The 15,320-nt window shown below is 34.2% G+C and overlaps 1 protein-coding gene across 3 annotated transcripts in view, besides 1 other annotated feature; it reads left to right on the forward strand.

The window, feature by feature from the left end:
* The window catches only part of CDH7 (cadherin 7), a 140,086-nt gene extending 124,791 nt beyond the window's left edge, over positions 1-15,295 (forward strand). For all 3 annotated transcript variants that reach the window (NM_033646.4, NM_001362438.2, NM_004361.5), the window contains exon 12: positions 5,359-15,295. In NM_033646.4, the coding sequence (NP_387450.1) occupies positions 5,359-5,852 (494 nt within the window). In that variant the 3' untranslated portion in view covers positions 5,853-15,295. The remainder of the gene's footprint in view (positions 1-5,358) is intronic.
* Positions 4,990-6,189: an enhancer, noted in NCBI's record as "P300/CBP strongly-dependent group 1 enhancer chr18:63547268-63548467 (GRCh37/hg19 assembly coordinates)". NCBI's record gives its function as "activates an origin of replication core promoter dependent on BRD2, BRD4, P300/CBP, MED14 and CDK7 cofactors, with strong dependence on P300/CBP, by STARR-seq in HCT116 cells {active_cell/tissue: HCT116}" and the evidence as "EXISTENCE:reporter gene assay evidence [ECO:0000049][PMID:35650434]".
* Positions 15,296-15,320: the final 25 nt, after the last annotated feature.

Raw genomic sequence — 15,320 nt, forward strand, 5'->3', positions numbered from 1 at the left:
CACTTTCTTAATATATTATGAAATATTTTTGCAATTTTTTTAGGTCATCAGCTATCATTAGTGTTAGTGTATTTTATGTGTGGCCCAAGACAATTCTTCCAGTGTGGGCAGGGGAAGCCAAAAGATTGGACACCCCTGCTGTAGAGCAAATATAGGTGACTTCTGAAGTGTCTGCCATCTTTAAGAGGATATGACAGTTCATAATAGAATACATTCATTGGAAAGAAGGGATACTTATTGTAGAGACCAGTAATTTCATGGTTATCATCAAGTGGGGAGATTGGTTAGGACCACAGGACTTGATGATACTCCAATAGAAATCATGTTCCAGTTACTTGATGATAGTCCAGTAGAAATCATTTTCCAGTTTACTGTGCAGATGGACATCTGCCAAAGATCACAGTAAAGCTGAGAATAAAGGTGCCCACTAATTTGTAGTATGGTGTGTGTTTTACACATCAATATTTTTCTCCATATTCCCTTCCTTTTATTTATCTTGGTTTTGGGAGAATGATTCTATCCAATTGCTGGACAACTTAAACTAATTTAAAACTGACAAAAAGGCCGGGCGTGGTGGCTCACACCTGTAATGCTAACGCTTTGGAAGACCAAGGCAGGAGGATCACTTGAGCTTAAGGAGCTCAAGACCAGCCTGGGCAAACTGGCAAAACTCCATTGAGCTCAAGGAGTTCGAGACCAGCCTGGGCAATATGGTGAAACCCTGTCTGTACAAAAAATAGCCATGTGTGGTGGTGCATGGCTGTAGTCTCAGCTACTTGGGAGTGCTGAGGCAGGAATATTGCTTGAGCTCAAGAGGTCGAGGATACAGTGAGCTGAGATCCTACCGCTGCACTTCAGCCTGGGTGACAAAGTGAGACTCTGTCTCCAAAAAATAAAAATAAAACTGACAACACATCAGTTCAAAAGAGTGTAAAGAATTACATGAAATTTGTAAAATAGTTCGCAGTAGGGTGTTGTAGTTTTATATAATTTTATTCTTGTAATTCTCTTTTCTGCATATTTCTCTGCGCCTGTGCATGTCTGTATATTCTTACAGTGAATTGCACTAAGATTCATACTGTATTTATCTGTGAATATACAGTCAACAGTGTTGGAACTGCTTATTTGTAGGAACCCTCTCTTGATATGCTTTTGCCAATATCCAGCACTATTTCCTACCTGCTAGAATGCTCAGAAAATGTTGAATTGAATGTTGTAAGACTGAATTCCAAAATCAGAAATTTAGGCCTGCATCATACTTTTACTGCTGTAATAGCACTCTAACTTCTTTTGTGACATCTTCTCCCCTATCTTCCTCTCCTTGGTCCAGTAAGAATGATTTTTATTTATTTTTTTGAAACAATCTGATTATATCATGCAGGCCTTAAAATATGTTTGTTCTTGGACCTGTAGGGCCTGACTCGTGCCTACAGCTCCAACCTTACCTCACCTCTTTCTTTGCCCTCCAGCCACGTTGGCCTCAAATATTTGCTCACTGTCGTCACTGTACCAAGTATGTTCTTCCATATCACATCTTCCTGTCCCTACCCTCAGCCTCCAGTTATCATCAGTTAAGTCTTTCTCATCTGTATCTATTTCCCCTAGTACACTTCTTTATAAGATCATGTGTCCCTCTTTTGGAGTAATTATTACAATTCTACTTTTACATTTATTTATTTTAATGTTTGGATCAATATCTGTTGGTCCCACGGAATCGTAAGGTCCATGAGTAAATGTTATATGTCTGCTTCTATGTGCAACATTACACTACAATACCTAATGCATATAATAAATTGTTAACATATTTTTGTTAAACAGATATGTAAATTCCTGAACAACCAGAACAATCTAAGTGTCACACATGGCTAAATTTCAGCTAGACCTAAATCTTTTCTTCTATTTCCACTCAGAAGTAGAGGTCATATGACACAAAAGAGAAATGATAAAACCTCTTAAAATATATAATCTTCTGCTTACTTAGGCAGAGTATTCTTCTTAATACAGTGATTAGCACCAGAGTCTATGAAGAACAGTTAATTCTTGTTCTATGTAAACATTAAATTCTATTTTTTATATGCGCTTACATGGTTAGAAATTAATATTTTCTGAGATCATTCAAATGTTAAAATTATCTAACCTTCCAAAATACCATGTTTTTCTTTGCCTTGGACAAGATTGGGAAATAAAGCAAACTGCATAACACATTAATATCCTTGATGTGTATTGTACCTTAGGGCTGGTATACCCACAGGCACTGTAGAGTTTTACTTTGATTGAAGACCTGAGAATCAGAAGTCAAGTTTATCAGTAGCATGAAATACATTTACAATAGAATATAAGAAATAATTGATATATACTATATATAGCAATATATTTATGACAAAATTTATTATAATTAAAGAATTTATAATTTTGAAATGTTTTGTCTACTTAGACATTGATTTAAATTAAGAGACCGCCTAATTATTATATAACTCTTACCCTCTTTATACCCTTACTGACTCTCATACTCATTCATTTCTTACACCCTTTTGTTCTCAACTGGACATTTCTCCTCCTTAATTATGCTGTTCAACATGTGTAACAGGTGTCTTATTTCTACCTGCCTCCATCTGTGCATCCCATCACTATTTTCTCTCAACGTCCCTCTTCATTCCATGCTTTACTTAATTTGATTTCTCACTAAGAAGTCCTACTGGGTTCTACTTTCTTTCTACTACAATTGCTTTCATTTTGGGGAAACTATGTGAAAAATTTCAGAAACTAAAGTTGTATATGAATATAAAATAATTGTTTATTCATCCATGTATTTTAAAAATTGTTGTCTTTCTTGAGCAAGCAAATTGCCTTTTGAGCTTTCATACTTGTCAACTTTAGCCTTTGTTTTTTAATCACCTTGTTTGAAAGTACTAAGCATACAGTGTTATAAACAGTGCGGGGGCTTTGAAGACAGACTGAGATGGAGTATGCCTCACCCCTCACTATTGCATTTAATTATATTTAGACAGGTTATTTTATGTGTCTAAGACAACCATCAAATGGGAAAACACCTACCCCAGAGAATTGTTGTGAGTGTTAAATAATATGTCCTGTGTGCAGACCTTCATTTCTCACTATACCACCTTTCCTATTTCCCATTTAATCTTTGGTACATATGCCTAGCCATATATGGTACACTTTCTACTTTGCTTGTTACCTTAAAAACAAACTGCTCTGTTGCATACTGATAAGTAACTGGGATTCTGCTAACTCTACTTACGTTATTTCCAATGTTCTTTATCTCTTCAGTCCACACTGTGAAGATTGATGTTGACTATTATTATCATATATTGCTAATTTCAATTAGTTTGAAAGTTACTTGTTCCAACATCACACAGCTAATATGTAGGAAGGTTGGACAAGGCCTTTCTGACACCAAAGCTGCAGCTGCTGTTGTAGCATTCTGTCATGTACCTTGAGAACTACAAGGCATTAGAATGGTGAAAGTGCTAATTCTCAGTAGACAAGAAAGGACAATCCACTTAACAGGGAAGGAAGGTGAATACCAGACTACTTATGGGAACAGAAAGATATACAAGCAGTAACTTTTGAACTTAGGTTGGTGCAAAAGTAATTGTGATTTTTGCTATTACCTTAATTGCAAAAACCACAGTTACTTTTGCATCAACCTAGTACATATATGCCCTTTTGGTGAAGCTGGTTGAAAACATTCAAATGAAGTAAACAGGAGCAAAAAGAAAGAGAGCAGGGATATCTGTGCCAATGCAGCATGAGAAGGTGGCCAGAAAAGCTCAGAAATGTATCAGTTTCTGAACTGTAGGCCATCCATAAAGTGTAAAGCTTATGAGAAGAGCAGTGCAGTAGGGTCCAGTGGGAAAGAAAAGGAAAAAGTGCCACAAAAAAACAATTGTTTTCACAACTATTTCCACAGATCACCAATACAGTTTTTCATCAGTCACATTCCTGTTGATGATAACACAGATAGCCAACAGACATTTAAGAAAGCATGTATTTTTATTGAAGATGAATTCATTTTATTTAAAACTAAATAAGTGCTCAGCTTTTTGGTTTTTGAAAGTACACTGAGGTGGGGGATGGAGTATGCCTCACCCCTGGTTACTGCATTTAAGTACACTGCAGTTAAGGACGTTGATGTCCTTCATGGTTTTATATTTTTATTTTCAAAAGTGTTCCTAATGCCAAAGTAAAAAGTTTACAAGATACTTTAAAAATATTTCACGCCTGCTTTTAAAAATATGATGACAATAATGTACCCTAAACGATAATCCATATAATGTACGTTATGGGCTATTCAGACTTTCCAGAAAAAAATCGTAAGCTGATGCAATATAAATTGTTAAAAGGTATTTGTAGATGAATAAAGGTAATTCATTACTTTACATATTTTTAAATTCCAAAATTCAACAATACTCTTTTTATTTCATTGTAGTTTAGTTGAAGTTGCAATGAAATCAAATGTATTCCCAATTCAAGGAGCATGCAGTCACTCAGAGGCCAGAGCACTTTCCTTATTTGTGTATACTAGTGAAAAATGCACAGAATACATTGTTTAAGTCCCCCAAATAACCAGTGTAGTTGTTCTTATTTGCTTTACAGTGCAACCTCCTGCTTTAAGATGTGATTTTTAGTTTTGATATAGGAAGATAAATTCCTAACATTAAAGGGGTGATTCATTTCTTAAATTTATCTTTGAGAGTTGCTGAAAATCTCACAGCTTGTATTCTGTCTGTAGGTATAATGGATAAAGACCAAGTTCAGTATTTTATACATGAAAGTGGGACTCAATTTATTATAGAGAAGCTTTTAATCTTTGTAAATGGCCTGACATGCTGGATTTTATTTAACAGTTGACTTTCATAGAGAAGGAGTAGGCATTTCTTCAAAGAACCTGACCGAGTGCTATAAACCATTTCTTTGTGAAATTGCAGTTGTTAAATTAGACACAAAACATTTATGAATTTCAATTTGCCTTTCCAGCAATTAAGGAGTTCAAAAAAATCCCTTTGTGTTTCCTGGCTTTGAAATGATTATATTTATCATGAACTGGCCCTTCAATTTCTTCTATCAAATACATTGGAGGTTACGTTAAAGAGGAAGACATCAGTTCTGAACAGGTGTGGAAAAGGGTTCCTTGATGTATAAAAGTGTTCTAATTTAAAGCCACTTTAGCAATTTTAGCACATCTACCGCTGTGAATCCTTGTGGAAGTAGGTGGCCAATTCATTTCTCTTTAAAGGGAAGAAAACCTGTAACTCAGCGTCCTAGGCCTAATTTTACCATGACGTGGGGCAATGGGTGAGTTTACTGAAACTTTCTCTTCCTGTCTTATTGTTTCAGTGTTGATCCTCCTTATCGTCACTATGAGAAGACGGAAAAAAGAGCCCCTTATTTTTGACGAAGAAAGAGACATCAGAGAAAATATTGTGAGATACGATGACGAGGGCGGGGGAGAGGAGGACACGGAAGCGTTTGACATGGCTGCACTGAGAAACCTCAACGTCATCCGAGACACCAAGACCCGGAGGGATGTGACTCCAGAAATTCAATTCCTGAGTCGACCAGCTTTTAAAAGCATCCCAGATAATGTCATCTTTAGGGAATTTATTTGGGAAAGATTAAAAGAAGCCGATGTTGATCCTGGTGCTCCTCCTTATGACTCCCTGCAGACATATGCTTTTGAAGGAAATGGCTCAGTTGCTGAATCACTCAGCTCTTTAGATTCCATCAGCTCAAACTCTGATCAGAACTATGACTACCTAAGTGACTGGGGACCTCGCTTTAAACGACTCGCGGACATGTATGGGACTGGCCAAGAGAGTTTGTACTCATAGCCTTGGAACCTTAATTCGAAATGTACTGAAGAAAAAGTAACAGCAAAAAATAAAATAAAATGAAATAAAATAATAAACCACTACATACAGAAAACAAGAACTCCCCTTGCTGGAGACAGATGGTTGTAAATATTTCTCCATTTTTAATTGTTTAGATTTCTGCCTTGGTGAGGCATATCTTCATTAGACTTATCTAAAGGACTGCACTGACCACAGACTCTGAGCATTTGAAGGTTTTTTGATAAAAATAAATGCTCAGTGGTTTGTGAATAGATAGCAACTCTCATATACCTGCAAAGGCACCAAACCTCTATGAGAAAGTAGTGCCCTGTGTTGTCAGTGAGTCAAAGATGCCCTGTACATACCTTCATGGTACTGTCATTGAGAGGAATAGAACATGATGAGCTATTGAAAAACCCTGGAACTTGTTGCATATCAAAACTTGGGACAAATTTAATTTACAGAGATGCTTATAGCTTACTATATTATAGAATCCAACAGAATTATGTTGCTCTTGATTAACAGAAATATTTTATTTAGGAATATATAAATTCCCAGAAATTCCTTCCTAACTGAAAACCCTACCACAAAAGCCAGTAAAATTTAGTTTAAGGCAATATAAACCATTGTTTATCCAATAAATTATGAAGTGTTCCAAATAAGAAAAAGGTAAATAATTTGATAGTTTTGAGATGCTTGTGTAGGTATGATAAAAAAAAAAGTTGCTGTCTGTTCATTGATTTTTATTATCTCTTCTGATTTGTACAGGAGAATATCTTTTCTTTTTTATTTGACACATGGTGTTGTATTTATTTTGGAGCTCCAATCTCCACTAAATTCAGGTCCATCATACTGCCTCATAGTATTAAACTCATCAGAACATGCTGATTTTTCTCCAGCCCGAGCTACATGAAGGAAATGAAGCATGGAAATGGAGAACTAATAGTAAAGCAATTGAGCCCTGTTGCAGGTCACATCTCAAAGAGGAGCACAGCTACAAGGACATATAAATTGTTCTTCTGAGCCATTAGAATGTCAAAACATTGGAATAAAATATTTGTATTTTAGAAAGACTTCAGAGAGAATTGAGATTTTCTTTGATGCAAGAATTATTTTTCAAGATCATGAGTTCTACATGCTCCAAAGACGATTTCAAGAACACAACCTTTCTTGCTGCAAACCTATTGAGTAAAATATTGAGTTTTTAAAAGTCTTAATATAATGTTATAAAAATTAAAATCCATCTTTAAATTCTGATGCAAATATGTCCCTCAAGAATTAACCAAGCAATGTATGATTTCTGTGTGGTTTAGATGTGCCAAAGGAAGGAAGGCAATTGCAAGTCATCATGTGTTTAAGTTTGAGTTGAGCTTGTTAGAGTATGACTTTCATGACCAAAATGATGTTTCTACCTATTATTTTTCCTAGATTAATACTAGTTTAATGTGCATATACATTCAAGTAAGAATGGATTTATTTTTTCCTTCCTTTCTCCTTTTAAAAATAATTCATTGTTGGGTTCCTAATACATTTACAGATAGTAAACACTGTGTAGAGAATCATGTTCTAAAAGTGCTTTTTGAAAGGTAGACAGTGGAATTAGAATATTAATATGTTGATTACACAAAGAAGAACTATGTAGGATTCTGTAAACTTGCAGCCCAACTTTAGAAATGAAGTATGTAAAAGTGGCCTTCAACTTCATAAGTATAAATAATCCAATAAATTTCATTACCTGCAAACAGTTCTTTAATTTGAATAGAGTTTTGTAGACATTGTTTTATGACTATATAGATATGCTTCTTGCTGTATTAATATGCATATATATTTTAAAAAATTATAACAGTGAAAGATACTGTTCATAACTTTTAATCACACATGCAAGTTTTTCAAACTAAAAAATAACAAACAAACAAAAAAACACGCGTATTTACCCAGTTCAATAAAATCAGAGTGTGGTGCAGGAATTACAGAGTTGTTAAGTCAGCAAGGTGCTGAGAAAACAGTTTGTAATAATCCCCTTGTTGTCTGCAAGAAGATGAAATAGTTTAGTACATTTGGATGATGTCAAAACTGCTGATTGTTGCACATACCACTAAACGGAGGTGTGGATGTATTTTAGAAAAGGAACACACATCATTCACCCTGCTTTTTCTGCTTTTAAAATGTGTGTTTTTTCTCATTAATTTTTTCAAATGGTTACCAATGATAGATTGGAAAAAGAAAGGTTCATGTTTAAATAATAATTTAAAATTATTGCATATACCCAATTGCTATTTATGTGTGGATGATTATATGAATACAGTATTACATTTCATTCAGTGGTATTTTTTAATTAAAAAAATTAATTTAAAAAATTAATTTTTGAGATGGCTGGAAGAATGTTCCTAATATAGGTAGTATTTATATGAAGTATTCTAAGCTTAATTGTAATAGTAGTAAATTTTTTGCCGTTGCTTATTTTAGTTTTCTTTTTTCTTCTGAAATCTAATGCTATATATGATGACTGTCAATACTTGAGATATAGGCTTTGTTTTAAAAACAGTGATTGAAGAGCTGATTGATAAAATTAATATTAAGTCTAGTTGGAAAATTCTCCAAATATGATTTAAATAAATATATATTATCAAGTTGCTTAAATTCAGTATTATACTGAAACCAACTAGAATGAGCTCACAGGAACTAATTCTTCATATCTCTTCCCAACTCCAGGTACAGTGATATCATTTTGGTAGGTTGATGTCAGCCTTGGTGGGATTATTTAGACCACAACAGTAATCAGCAAACACTACCCTTTTCTCTGGAGAACAAGTTGTTAAACATTTACCAGCACTCTACTGCTTAAATTATTTTATAAAATGAAATGTCATAATTGTAAATATAGTATGAATTTATATGATTTAAAATAATGACATGAAAGGAATTTATGCTATATTTTACTACTAAATAACAATGTATGTGGTAGTGATTTCCTGAAGTGAAATCCTTGGAGCTACTTGTAGACAGGGAGAGGAGTCACTTCTTTATGGAAAACAATGGCTAAATTTCAAGTAGAGATAATAGTTCAGGAAGTCAATATATTTAATTATTTTCCACTTGTCCATACAGGAGCATCAATAGAAACTCAGGGTTTGCCAAATTATGCCCATTTTGAACAGTTTAATTTATTGAAAAATCAGATGCATTTTACTTCTTACTGTCTATGTCAAGGAAATACACCCAAGCCCTTAATCTGAATTGTCACCATTGCATTATTAAAAATCAACATAAAAATATAAAAATCAAATCTTAAGGAAATGGATTTCTGGAGATCAAGCCTAAATTATCAATCTCAATTCACAAATTAGTCTCTGAAAGAAATATTCCAAGATCAGCCAGCTAAGGAACAAAATCAGGAAAGAGACATCAATAAAAAATTAGGTAGTAATTTGCAGGCAATAAGTAGATTTTTGATTTTTCTACAAGCAATCACCAGATCTGGGATCTGGTAAATGTCTTTATTTGCCAGGAAGCTCTGCTGATGACTACAATTGAGGTTAGTTGTCTACAAGATACATGCAGGAGGTAGTAGTGGTTAAGTAATGGTAGCTGCCTTTTCACTCTGCCCTCTGAGGAAGTTTTAAATTATTTTATCTTCATGCACAATTACATTTACTACATTGGATGGTAGACATAGGCAATTATTTTCATGTCAACGGCATAGTTACACAATGTAGGAATGATATTTGTGAAGTGATCCACATGCCCAAGAAATGCAAATGCAAATAGTGTTGTTAGCATTTATATTGAAATATAAAATCTAAAGCAGCTTAAAATAAGCTAAGCTAAACAAACTGCAAGAAGCTAAATGATTTAAACATGTTAAAGTTTTAAAGCACTAGCTGTAAATATTAATCTTCAGATTTTCAATTTAACATGTATTCACTTACAAACTGTTCTAATAATAACACTAATTATTTTCCAAGTCACCATTTAAAGTTTTATTTACAGTTGACCTAATCCAATTGAAGTTGATGAAAGCTTCAACTTATTTTTTAACTCTTTCTGGTCCACGATGCCTGGAGGCAAGTGAAATATATATGACAAATAATAGATAAACCAATTTATTTTCTGTTAGTGTATGTTTATTTTTTAATTATTAATAATGTATATTGTGTGTATATATGACGGTGTATGAAAGTTGGCAATGAAAGCTAATACAATCATGTTAGTCGGCTGGATATAATAAAGAACAAGAAAGGAATAATAGCATTTGCATTTTAAATGTAATTGAAACTATTTCAGAAGAGTGGGATAAGCCCTTAAGAAAAATGGGAGATGTTTAAGGCTGTGATTTGGCCGACATTGTAACGTATAATTCTGTGGGAAATTTTTCAAGCAAATCAAGACAGGCAGTGTGCGTTGCATTCTGACACTTTTTCATTGTTATGCTAACTTCTACTGGCTTAGAATGTAACTGAAAAGGATGTGTGCCTGTGTTTTTTTTTTTTTTTTTTTTTTTGACGTGGAGTCTCGCTCTGTCGCCCAGGCTGGAGTGCAGTGGTGCGATCTCGGCTCACTGCAAGCTCCGCCTCCAGGGTTCACACCGTTCTCCTGCCTCAACCTCCGGAGTAGCTGGGACTACAGGCGCCCGCCACCGCGCCCCGCTAATTTTTTTGTATTTTTAGTACAGACGGGGTTTCACCGTGGTCTCGATCTCCTGACCTCGTGATTCGCCCGCCTCGGCCTCCCAAAGTGCTGGGATTACAGGCGTGAGCCACCGCGCCCGGCCCTGTGTGTGCGTTTTCATGTGTGTGATTGGGAACCTTGAGAGATGTATCTGAAGTAATGTAAAAATAAGAGTCTCATAATTCCTGGTTAATGCTGGCGTATTGTTGTCACCTGCCAAGTGACTGTTAGGCAATAAGACTAGAAAATATGGTACCGAATGAAAGGAGAAATATCTTATTTGCTGTAACAATCTAATTTATATTAAGGTAAGGATTTTGGTGGCTAAGGAAAGAACATTTAGCTGTTATTTGTGTAATTGTCACATATTATTGTGCAGATTTAATCTCATTGTTAACAGAATATAGAGTGTGAATTATTTGTTATTAAATGTTACTGGGCTTTGGTGTCAGTGTGGTATACCAGAAATTACCTCTGGTCTGTGGTTATAAAATCTAGGTCAGAAGCTCAGTTTCGCCACATTTTTGCTGTGCCCTAGATGCCATTTTCATTCTCTGAACTTTTATAGCTTCATGATTAAAATTGAGTTAATTACTATTGTGTTTCAGAGGCTTGTGAATGATTAAGTGAAAGACTGTGTAAACAGTAAAACACTATAAAAAGATAAAGCTTTATTATGGGAAATAATGGGAATTATATAAAAAGGTTGATAATTGTTATATGGTAAACAGAGAATTTCTGTTTGGAGATACATACATTAAGGAAAAATATATGCAACTTGGTATCCTAAATTGGAAAATAATATTCAAATAGATAATTGTCATAATTAATTGAAGCCACTCAAATACAGTTATTTATAAGATCTCAGAAGATTGCAGTTTAACTCAACATAATTCAACCATTCATATGAATTAATGATATCCATATGTGAATGGGATTATAAATAAAGAACAAATCTTTCTTACTTATAATGATAACTGAGTGGAAGATAAAGGACTGCCTTTAGATGATCCCAGCCTCATTGATGAACACAAAACACCAGAATAGAGAAAAAGACAATAATGAGTATAAGTTAAGTGGTCTTCCAGGCATCCAGAGTAGATAAAGAAAATGAAGTTCTAGAGAATACAATACTTTTTAAAGTCACAGTGACATATGTGTAATTAATAATTTATACACTTGAAAAAATTAGATGCAATGATATTGACTTAACATGAAAACCATCCTGAATGCAATGCACTCTTGATGACTCAAACTCACTTATATCTTACAACAGCTCATCTTAATCTCTTACGAATGAAGAAACTCTAGGAAACTAAAAAATAATATATAATGGATATTACTTTTTGTCAGTGATGCCAAGATGAATGTTAATAAGCTCTCTTCTCAACTTTAGCTCTTAGTTATCTGGTTATTTTATGCTCATGTGAACAGACACTAGAAACAAATATATTAATAACTATGTAACTAATGAGAATGTTGAAAGTACAGCATACTTTCATTCAAAAACAAACTTGCATTTTCATTTTATTAATGAATATAATGATGTTAATGGTTTATATAAGCAGGAAAAACTTATATGATTCACTACCCTACAGCTTCATGTTCTAATTTTGTGAGTATAAACCCTATGTTTTTGTATATCAAGATCTGGAATATGTTGTATACTGTATATGACCAATACTTTAAGAACAATCAAGTTTTTTTATTATTATTATTATACTTTAAGTTTTAGGGTACATGTGCACAATGTGCAGGTTAGTTACATATGTATACATGTGCCATGCTGGTGTGCGGCACCCATTAACTCGTCATTTAGCATTAGGTATATCTCCTAATTCTATCCCTCCCCCCTCCCCCTACCCCACAACAGTCCCTAGAGTGTGGTGTTCCCCTTCCTGTGTAACTATATAGCAATTTCATTTTACATGCAGTAATTTTAAATGCCCAAAAATAAAAGGAAAAGGAAAAATAAGTCACTACACAACTTATATATATTATGTATTTGTCTTTGAATTTTGTGTGCGTATGTGTGTGTGTATATATAGACAGCATGCGCACACATACATACACGTGTGCAGGAACACACACAATTTGAGGCGAAATGTTGAAGTAAAGTAAATGACTTTTAAATATTTTCTTTTTAGCTTTTAAGATGTCTATTAGATCCAACCTCTACAATTAAATTATATGAGCATACTGAGGGAGAATTGCACATTTGTAAAGTTTCTCTTTAGTAGAGATTTCAGAATTTTTTTTCTCAAATTTAGAGGAACGAACAATTCACATTAGTAAAACACACAGCATTACTTTCAATGAAACTATAATTTTTATGTTTATGAGATTCCATTATAATTACATTAAAAAGAAAACCACTTTTATAATATTTTTGCTTATGTAAGAGTCACTTCTATAGTAAAAGAGCCTTAAAAATGTTAATTCAATTGACTGCAGAATTGATCCTGAAAATCCAGTTCATTTAACCTTGGAAATGAGACATGAAGCATAAAACCTGGGGTCAGGATGTATGTCCAAACTGAATAGATTATTTTCGTTCAGCTCAAGTGCTATCTTTCAGGCAAATAGACTCCTACAATATTCAGTATTGGAGATGTTTAAAACAAATATAAGAAAGAGTACTGTTTCAGAACTAACCAGCGAAGAGATGTATACAAAGTGTACTCTGAATTGGAATAAGTGTAGGAAGACAAGCCGTGAGAATGTGAGACCTCAGTATATTGCTGTGTTTTATTGTGTGTTTTGCTGTATTTTTAAAAAATAAGAAAAAATTATCACAGAGTAAGATACATAGAAGAAAATAATTTCCGCAATTCTTGGTACCTCAAAAGACCTGACACACTACAATGAAGACTTCTGTTGTCATCATTCTCAGCTGTGATGGTGGCGCCATCCTGGTTTCCAGCTTATACCTCCTGACAACTCGGTACAGAAAATGAGTATCATTGTAATTAAAGTTTGATATTTTCTTCTAAGTGACTGATTTTTAATATAAAAGTATCACAATAAAGTTTTTCCACAGATATGTAATTTTAAGTTAGATAACATTCTAACATATACATGGTTTCAATTTTCTTATAAGTCTGTGAATCACTCAAGTTAGGCATTGTTAGGTTTTTTAAGGAAAAACTTTGATGCCCAGAATAACTGTAACTTATGCAAACACACACACACACACACACACTCACACACACACGAAGTAAATGGTAGAAATGAAAGAAGAAGAAGAAGAAAAAAACATTGGGACATTTTGCCCTTTATCTTTTTATTAAGACTGTCAATAAATGATGGTTTGGTTTAAGAGGATAAGAAGATAGCTGAAACTCTAATAATTGGACTTTCCAATCTTAATTATGCTTTAGTTCCCTTACCAGGATTAGGAAACTTCTTTGTGATTCTTTTTTAAAAATAATTTAATCAGGAAGTGACATTAAATTCTGTTTCAATGTAATGAGAAAATAGAAATATTTATATTGTCATTACGATGGCACTTCACCAGTATGTCCTAATCTATTCTCTATTACGTCTCTGAGGTGGGACATTGTTGTGAGAATGGACGAGAGCACAAAAACACGGCAGACCAGATTTTCTGAGGGTTACCCGCTATGCAGATTCATAAACTTGTTATTGAATAGTTGGCACACAAGGGTAGGAGAAAAATCCCAACAACCCTTCCACCTTTTCCAAAAAGAAAAAAAAGAAAGAAAAAGCTAAATCTTATGAAGCTAAACTGTCAACAAACAGTTCCACTGAAGTTGCCATAGGGACAGCTCCAACCCAGTGCTGGGCTCGTGGAAGGCAGCAAGGTACCTGCATCAAGCCAAGATCCATGAAAGTGCTAATGTCATTTGAGGCCAGTTTCACCCCTACCTCCCATAAATCATTTTAAACCAAATATGAATTAGTAGTCAAAAATGACCAAACACAGACGATAACCCACCATGAAGGAGATGGTTCATAGAAATCTCCAAGAACTTCAGATAATTCAGGTAATTATCAGAAACATGACAAGAAAAAGCTTTGTGTAAAATACAGAATACAACACAAGGAATAATGAAAAGATGATCTATGATGGTGTATACTTGCAAAATAACTAAAGAGTGTATTTAAGATTTAAATATATCTTTGAAGCTAGAAGTACTATGGAGATTGTATATACTATATTAGACACTGTGCAAGAAGGAACTTGTGAAGCTAAAAAATAGAATGCAATAAATTAGCTAGTCTGCCACATAGAGAAAAAAAGATAATCTGCAAGAACATAAGGGACAAGGATAAAATACGGAGTTTAACGTGCTTATAACCAGTGTGATCCTTGTTAATCAGAATTCTAGAATGTTCCATTGCCTTATGTGACACCTCCACTGCCCCCACTTTTTCTTTTTTTTTGACAAGGTCTCATTATGTTTCCCAGGCTGGCTTTTAACTCCTGGCCTCAAGTTATCCTCCTGCCTCTGCCTCCTTAAATACTGGAATTACAGGTGTGAGTCACCATGCCAGGTGTCTCCCATTTTTTAATGGTAGCTTAACTTCACCTGAAGCCTCCTATGCCACTATCTTTATAGGAAGCTTTACCGACTTTGTACGACTTGGTTTAATTTATTCAGCTTAATGGTCCATTTAACCAATATTGTTATAAATTTATGAAGCTTCAATTCTAGCAAAAATAAACTATGTGCACTCATCAAAATGTGTGGCACACCTATGAAAAGTGATCAGGATGCCCAAGCAATTTTAATTAAAATCAGATAATTAAATATGGCTCTGTGTTTTCATTTATCT

Source organism: Homo sapiens, chromosome 18, assembly GCF_000001405.40.
Source record: "Homo sapiens chromosome 18, GRCh38.p14 Primary Assembly".
In the NCBI taxonomy this organism is placed as follows: Eukaryota; Metazoa; Chordata; class Mammalia; order Primates; family Hominidae; genus Homo; species Homo sapiens.